The sequence below is a fragment of the Homo sapiens genome, chromosome 2, assembly GCF_000001405.40.
Source record: "Homo sapiens chromosome 2, GRCh38.p14 Primary Assembly".
Lineage (NCBI taxonomy): Eukaryota > Metazoa > Chordata > Mammalia > Primates > Hominidae > Homo > Homo sapiens.
In genome coordinates, this window is record NC_000002.12 from 9,555,164 (window position 1) to 9,563,577 (window position 8,414).

At 46.9% G+C, this 8,414-nt stretch overlaps 1 protein-coding gene across 4 annotated transcripts in view, besides 3 other annotated features; it reads right to left on the minus strand.

Annotated features, from left to right (window-relative positions):
• Positions 1-667, minus strand: part of ADAM17 (ADAM metallopeptidase domain 17) — a 67,345-nt gene extending 66,678 nt beyond the window's left edge. For all 4 annotated transcript variants that reach the window (NM_003183.6, NM_001382777.1, NM_001382778.1 and 1 more), the window contains exon 1: positions 346-667. In NM_003183.6, coding sequence (NP_003174.3) covers positions 346-442 — 97 coding nt within the window. In that variant the 5' untranslated portion in view covers positions 443-667. The remainder of the gene's footprint in view (positions 1-345) is intronic.
• Positions 586-875: a silencer, noted in NCBI's record as "silent region_11135". NCBI's record gives its function as "represses an Ori minimal core promoter by ATAC-STARR-seq in GM12878 lymphoblastoid cells {active_cell/tissue: GM12878}" and the evidence as "EXISTENCE:reporter gene assay evidence [ECO:0000049][PMID:35858748]".
• Positions 1,106-1,325: a silencer, noted in NCBI's record as "silent region_11136". NCBI's record gives its function as "represses an Ori minimal core promoter by ATAC-STARR-seq in GM12878 lymphoblastoid cells {active_cell/tissue: GM12878}" and the evidence as "EXISTENCE:reporter gene assay evidence [ECO:0000049][PMID:35858748]".
• Positions 1,297-1,591: a silencer, noted in NCBI's record as "tiled region #1969; K562 Repressive non-DNase unmatched - State 1:Tss". NCBI's record gives its function as "represses a minimal TATA promoter and a strong SV40 promoter by Sharpr-MPRA in K562 cells {active_cell/tissue: K562}" and the evidence as "EXISTENCE:reporter gene assay evidence [ECO:0000049][PMID:27701403]".

The window sequence follows — 8,414 nt, forward strand, 5'->3', positions numbered from 1 at the left end:
AGAACCCTGACCACATCTCCCTCTCCAAACAAGATCCAGCCACCCTACTCCTTACCGCTTTCCCAACACCCTCCCCGAACACAAAGCTAGGGAGCAAACCCCTCTCAGGCGCTCAGTCACTACATGGAGCCCGTCCAGTAGCCCTTTCCCACTCAGAGACAGGCCCATCTCCTTTATTCTTTCCCCAAACTCCGAGAGCCACACCCCCTTCTACACTGAAAACTTAGGGACGCGCCACCATCGCCAATACCCCGCCCCCAAACACCTGATAGACCCAGCTCCCCTGCTCTTCCCTCAAACGAGCGCTCCAGGCGCCGGCCTAAGCCAACTCCCCTGGGTCTTTACCGAGTCTCTGGTGGGGGCCGAAGCCCGGGTCATCCGGAGGTCGCGGCGCCAGCACGAAAGGAACCACGCTGGTCAGGAATAGGAGAGACTGCCTCATGTTCCCGGCCCCGCTACCGACTCCACCTCTCTGGGCAGCCTTCGCCTGACGGGGTTTCGGAAAACTGCTCACATCGGGGGAGGACGGGATCCGCCCGGCCTAGCCCCTCAATCCTCTTTTCCCTCCCGCGCCGCCTACTGGGAAGATTCTACCGCCAGGCTCGACGCCCCCAGAAGTGCAGGTGGCGTTACCAAAGGCCGGCTCAGCCAGCTTCCGGCCGCCGCTGTCCCCCGCACCACCCACAGCCGGAAGCCGGCTGCCGCGCGGCATCCCGGGAGGCTCCGCTTGCCCCGCCCCACGCCGGTGCGCCGCGGGCCTCTGGTCCGCTGCCGTGTTCGGCCCCGCCCGTCACGTCTAGCTGGGGCTCGCCCGGCGCCTTCCTGGACGCAGACGTATGAGTCCCAACTCCACCCAGTCCGGCCTGGCCTCTGTCCCCGGGTGACCGCGGAATGGGGGGGCGGGAGCTAGCGAGCAGGCCCTCAAGCGCGTCTGGCCGCCTCCTTTGTCTTGATGCCCACGTCTGGTTAGGACCCCTGCTGTCCATTTTATTAAAGGAGCTGTAGAAAGCGGCCTGGGGCCCAGCGACCTGCCCAGGGCGGACGAGGAGGCGCGACTGGCCCGATGCCGCAGGCTCTCTGCCCAGTGTGCTCAGGTGGGAGGGCGGGGACATGAATCGAGCCACAGAGTGCCCTGGGCACGGACCCCCCGCCCCCCCCGGCCCCGGGCCCCGAGCCCCGAGCCCCGAGCCCGGCCACCGAAGCCCGTGCCACTCGCCAGCTCCTGCGAGACGAGCCTTTCGAGCGCAGCTCAGGCATTTGGTTCAGGGTCCTACTGCCGGAGTCGTCTGAGGCCTCCATCCGTCTGTCGTCACGAAAAAGGTTTTGGGGGGACTAATAAGCACTTCCTGAATGCACATTTGCTCCACGCCCCTGCTGTAGGGAGAGGGTCTGCAGACACTTCAACAAATAGAATCCTAGGACCTTACCTGTGAGTACAAGAGCTGGAATCTTCCCACCAACTTCTTAAAATTCAATCCTATACTTGGTCCATTTAGCTTAGACTGGAAATTTCCCAAGGCAGTTTGTTTTGCAATCTTTTGCATGATTTTAGCTCTGTATAGTTTAGTGAATGTTTATGGTACTGAATAAAACAGTCTAAAAACGTTGGGTACATGTTGCTGTTTTATTTAGTTCAACCAAAGTTTATAAAAGTAGGACATAATACGTTTTCCACTTAAGAGTGAGACAGCCTTTATTATGAAACGGTAAATTGTTAGGAATACTAGTCCTATTCAAGTTTCAAGGCTTATTCCTAATAAAATACTCAAACTGTGGTTAAAATTTATGTTAATGGTGGTTTGCCGCAGTAAAATATCAGCGTCTTTTTCAACAATACATTGTTGGCTAAAATTAACCGGACCTGGTCTGTACATCTGAAGTATAAAATATCTTTATTAAACATACCCATTAGTGGCATACCTAGTCAAAAAGTAAGCAGAATTTCACATGCAAATTGTATACAATCTGTAAAAATTGTATTCCATAAGAATGTGACAGTTGAGTACGGTTTTTGGGGGGCTTTTTTGGTGTACCATAATAATGTCATCTGGTTTCTTTTCTGAACATCCAGTCACCATAATGTCCGGCTTGTAACTTTAGTAGATCGTAGATTGTATTATTTTGGTATCCCCAACAGCTCTTGTACAGTGCCTTGCTCATAGAAGGTACTTAGCTGTTTAGTAAATGCCGTTTAAAAAAAAAATCCCGATCCATTTTCTTTTCTTTTTTTTGGGGGGGGGTGGTGGGGGAAAGAGTTTCGCTCTTATTGCCCAGGCTGGAGTGCAATGGCGTGATCTTGGCCCACTACAACCGACTGAACACCTCCTAGGTTTAAGCGATTCTCCTGTCTCAGCCTCCCAAGTAACTGGGATTACAGGCGCCCGCCACCACGCCCAGCTAATTTTTGTATTTTTAGTAGAGATGGCATTTCACCACGTTGGCCAGGCTGGTCTCAAACTCCTGACCTTAGGTGATCCACCCGCCTCGGCCTCCCAAAGTGCCAGGATTATAAGCGTGAGCCACCGCGCCTGGCCTGAATAACCAGAAGTCCTAGATTTCCAGGGACATTCCAAATTTCAAGTAATCTTTTCAATTCACAAATCAGGACCCAAATTATTCCAATTTGCAGTTCATCTTTCATTTATCAATTGTGCATACTTTTAAGATAAAAGAGCACCACGTGGGGGAGATAAAGAGCCAAAGGAATATGGTAAGAGGGGCACTGGATAGATTAATTAGTTTATCTTTTTTTTTTTTTTTTTTTTTTTTTGAGACGGAGTCTTGCTCTGTTGCCAGGCTGGAGTGCAGTGGCATGATCTTGGCTCACTGCAGCTTCTGCCTCCCAGGTTCAAGGGATTCTCCTGCCTCAGCCTCCCAAGTAGGTGGGACTACAGTTGTGCGCCACCATGCCCAGCTAATTTTTGTATTTTCAGTAGAGACAGGGTTTCACCATGTTGGCCAGACTGGTCTGGATCTCCTGACCTCGTGATCTGCCCGCCTTGGCCTCCAAAGTGCTGGGATTACAGGCATGAGCCACCGCGCCCGGCTCTTTTATCTTTTGAGACGGTCTGGCTCTGCAGCCAAGGATGGAGTACCGTGACACAATCACAGCTCACTGCAGTCTCGACCTCCTGGGCTCAAGCAATCCTCCAGCCTCACCCTCCTCAGTAGCTGGGACCACAGGCATGCACCACCACACCTGGCTAATCTTTACATTTTTTTTATAGAAGTGGAGTCTCGCTATGTTCCTCAGGCTGATCTCAAACTCCTGGCCTCCCAGAGTGCTGGGATTACAGGTATGAGCCACTGCACTCAGCACCAAAATAATTTTTTAAAACTATATACCCCCTGGCCAGACGTGGTGGCTCACACCTGTAATCCCAGCACTTTGGGAGGCCGAGGCAGGCGGATCACGAGGTCAGGAGATCAAGACCATCCTGGCTAACACGGTGAAACCCCGTCTCTACTAAAAATACAAAAAATTAGCCAGCGCAGTGGCACGTGCCTGTAGTCCAAGCTACTTGGGAGGCTGAGGCAGGAGAATCACTTGAACCCTGGAGGTGGGGGTTGCAATGAGCCGAGATAGCGCCACTGCACTCCAGCCTGGGCGACAGAGGGAGACTCCATCTCAAAAAAAAAAACAACTATATACCCCCTAGGTGTATCTTTAAAGTTTTTCATCATTAGCGTAGTAGTAGCAAATTATGAAACTTTCAGCATAAATACTGACATTTAAAATTAAAGCTGTTAGGTCATTATTTTAAAGTTTTCCAATAGAGTATAAATACCTCAAAGATTTGACAGCCACAGTGGTAGCCCAGCCTCCAAGATGGCCCCCAATGATGCCTGCTTCCTCTTCTACACTGGGCCATAGTTGGTCTGTGACCACTAGCATGCAGCCGAAGTGATGTCACTTCTGAGGTTAGGACACAAGAAACTCTGTCCTCCATCTCAGGTGCTCTCTTGCTTGCTTGTTTCCTCTTGAATCACACACTCTGGGGGAAGCCAGCTTTCATGTCATGAGAACACTCAGGAAAACTATGGAGAGGTCCAATAGAACAGGTCAGCAGCCAACAAACACCAAGGAGCTGCCAAAGACTATGTGAGTGAGCTTGGAAGGAATTCAGCCCCAGGCAAGCTTTAAGATCACTGCAGCCCCTGACCTACCATCTGACTATAACTAAGCTACTCCCAGATTCCTCAGCCTCAGAAGCTGGGAGATAAGTGTTCGTGGTTCTAAAGCTCCTAAATTAGGGGTAATTTGTTACACAGCCACTATCATCTGTTCAAAAAAATACGTAAACAAGTTGATGGGATCCTGGGTTCTTAACACCTGAAGTGATGCTTTTAATTTAGGATTTAATAAAGATAATTAAAAATATTTCCTGAGGTTCCCCAATCCCATGCTGTGGAATTAATTATTCATAATTTAGATACCGCAAGTGAATTTAAGAGTAAACATTTGCAGTTATTAAACACATGAGCCACATATGGTTCTGCAGTTAACTACCAAACCCACACAAGTACCAGTAAAACCTTGTCTAAATGACCAGAGAACTAACTGGTTCTGGCTGGGTGTTTTGTTTCCTTCTATCTATTTCTCTAGCTCTATTTCTCTTATTAGCCAATTTTGTCTTACACCAACCCCACCAGTTTTTATAGATGGATAGAGCCATCCTCACTGTTTCTAAAATGGTAATTATTCCTGCATTTGTATGCTTTTTTGCTGATGAACAAATCTGTGGAAAGCAGTCGCTTTAAGTATGAGTCAACCCACAAATAAGACAACAGATGCCACTTAATGAAAAATAGGACTTTATACAAAGTCATGTGCCAAGAACTCTAATTTCTAAGGTTTTGGTTAAGAAATTTTAACCCATTTTAGAAAAAATCAACCTTTTTTTTTTTTTTTTTTTTGAGACGGAGTCTTGCTCTGTCGCCAGGCTGGAGTGCAGTGGCGCGATCTCAGCTCACTGCAACCTCCGCCTCCCGGGTTCAAGTGATTCTCCTGCCTCAGCCTCCCGAGTAGCTGGGACTACAGGCATGCGCCACCACGCCCAGCTAATTTTTGTATTTTTAGTAGAGACGGGGTTTCACCATATTGTCCAGGATGGTTTCAATCTCTTGACCTCATGATCCGCCCACCTCGGCCTCCCAAAGTGCTGGGATTACAGGCATAAGCCACCGTGCCCGGGCAAAATCAACCTTTTAGAAAAATGACAAATATGCATGGGACAAAGCAGAGACATCTGCAGATCCTCACTGATGAACAGATGATTTTGGGGGGAATTTTTTTTAATTGTTATAAAGTCTCCTTTCTTTCTTTTTTTTTTTTAGAGACAGGGTTTCACCATGTTGCCCAGGTTGGTCTCGAATTCCTGGGCTCAAGCGATCCACCCACCTCGGCCTCCTAAGGTGCTAGGATTACAGGTGTGAGCCACCACATCCCACTGATATGAACCACCATTGTGTGCAGAAGTATCATACATCCTACATATTGTATGCCACATAAAATATGGAGCTGTGTCTGTTCTTTTCCTTCTTAAATCCCTGCCTCTCTCCCTTGAGATCTCGGGGTAATTGAACCACATGAATAACTGAACTTAGAGAGCAGACTAGATAAAGAGAACAAATGGAAACTTGTGCTGGTTTGAAATTACCTCAGGTCTGAAGTGGCCAGAAGTCATTACTCTTGGGTTGACAGGCCCCAGAGAGGAGACTCTCACCAATTACCCTCCAGTTCCACAGCAGCCAGAGACCTTAATTGAAAAGCTGTTCTACTTAGGGCTCTTCAGAAAAACCGAACTTGATTGTTCAATGTTTAAATTCTGAAAATTTTACTAATATTTTAAGAATTATACCAAAGAGATACACATTATACCTTTGGCCTCAAAGAAATTATACTCTAAAAGATAGATATATATAAACACACAAACACCCAAATGCATCAGGAAAAATAAGGATCATGGATTTTTTTCACGTTAACTTTTTGGGTTTGTGTTTTTTTTGAGATGGGGTCTCGGTCTGCCACCCAGGGTGGAATGCAGTAGCACAATCTCGGCTGACTACAACCCCTGTCTTCTGGGTTCAAGCGATTGCTTGTGCCTCAGCCTCCCGAGTAGCTGGGACTACAGGCGTGCACCACCATGCCCAACTAATTTTTATATTTGTATAACAGTGGAGATGGGGTTCCACCATGTTGCCCAGGCTGGTCTTGAATTCCTGGCCTCAGATGATCTGCCCACCTCAGCCTCCCAAAGTGCAGGGATTATAGGTGTGAGCTATCACGCCTGGCCCACATTAACTTTTTAAAATAAATTTTCATTTTAGAAAAATTTCAGATTTACCGAAAAGTTGCAAAGATAGTATGGAGTTCCTGTTTCACCCAGCTTCCTAAATGTTGACCATGATGATCATGGTATGTTTGTTAAACTAAAAAAATAATACTGGTACAATACTAGTAACTAAACTGCAGACATTTGGATTTTTTTTTTTTTTTTGAGACGGAGTCTTGCTCTGTCACCCAGGCTGTAGTGCAGTGGTGCGATCTTGGCTCACTGCAACCTCCTTCTCCCGGGTTCAAGTGATTCTCCTGCCTCAGCCTCCCAAATAGCTGGGACTGCAGGCTTGTGCCACCATGGCCGGCTAATTTTTGTATTTTCAGTAGAGATGGGGTTTCACCATATTGGCTAGACTGGTCTCAAACTCCTGACTTCAGATGATCTGCCTGCCTCTGCCTCCCAAGTGTTGGGATTACAGGTGTGAGCCACCACACTGGCCGGATTTTTTTATTTTTTAATGTGCCTTACGGTCTTTAAGAAATTTTGGGGCCAGGCACAGTGGCTTACTCCTATAATCCCAGCACATTGGCAGGCTAAGGAGGGATTGCTTGAGCCCAGGAGTTCAAGATCAGCCTGGGCAACAAATAAAAAAAATTAGCCAGGCATGGTGGCACATGCCTGTGGTCCCAGCTACTCAAGAGGCTGAGGCTGAGGCAGGAAGATCACTTGAGCCCAGGAAGTCAAGGCTGCAGTGAGCCATGTTTGTGCCACTGCACTCCAGCCTGGGCAACAGAGTGAAACCCTGTCTCAAAATAGATAATTAAATTAAATTTAAAATTATGATAAAATACACATAACACAAAATTTACCATCAACATTCAATACATTTACAGTGCTGTGCAATCATCACCACCATCTGATTCCAGAACATTTTAATCACCCCAAAAGGAAACCCCATACCCATTAAACCACCTTTCCCCCTCCTCCCAGTCCCTGGAAGCCACTAATTGGACTGCAATTTTGTCACTAATGTCCTTTTTCTGTTCTAGGATCTAACCCAGGATACTACATTGCATTTAGTCACATTACTGTTATACTCTTTAGGTCAAATAAAGCTATTTTAAATATTTCATTCTCGGCTGGGCACGGTGGCTCACGCCTGTAATCCTAGCACTTTGGGAGGCTGAGGCAGGTGGATCACCTGAGGTCAGGAGTTCAAGACCATCCTGGGCAACATGGTGAAACCCCGTCTCTACTAAAAATACAAAAATCAGCCAGGCGTGGCAGCATGTGCCTGTAATCCAAGCTACTTGGGAGGCTGAGGCAGGAGAATCACTTGAACCTGGAAGGCAGAGGTCGCAGTGAGCTGAGACACTGCTACTACACTTAAAAAAAAAAAAACAAAAACTCTGCAGAAGCAATAGTTAATATACTTAGTGGTGTTAAAGGAAACTGTCCAGCTCAATCCCTCACTCTCTCTCCTTTGAACTAGTCCCTATCATTCCCATAATACCTGAAGTGACTTTCTTACCTCTGCTTCCTCTCCACCAGTACCTCTACCTGTCTTCCATAACACCAGCTAAATGTCTCCTATCCATGGGCTTTTTCTTGGTTCTTTTATAGCCCGTCCTTCATTTTATCTTGCATTGTTGCTTCTTGATGGTATTTTGGTATTTTCTACCAAAGCACAAGTTCGTAAAGGTGAGGACCCTACTACCTTCCATATCAAATAAGTGTTCTGCCTAAGGCAGTTAACAGTTATTTATGAAACAAATATCATTATCTGACATACAGCCAGATACCTCACAATTTCCCTCATCTAAATAAATTAGACAATTTAATGCTTATAGCGGCAGAATTGTGTCTCCCCTGCCCAAGAAAATAAGTTCAAGTCCTAACCCCTGGTATTATGAATGTGATCTTATTTGGAAACAGGGTCTTTGCAGATGTAATCAAGTTAAGATGAGGTCATACTGGATTAGGCTGGGCCCTAAATCCAATGACTGATGTCCCTGTAAGAAGAGAAGTGACACAGAGACACACAGAGAGAGCACCGTGAGATGATGGATGCAGAGATTAGAGTTATACACCTACAAACTGAACACCAAAGAGCGCCACGACACCAGAAGCCAG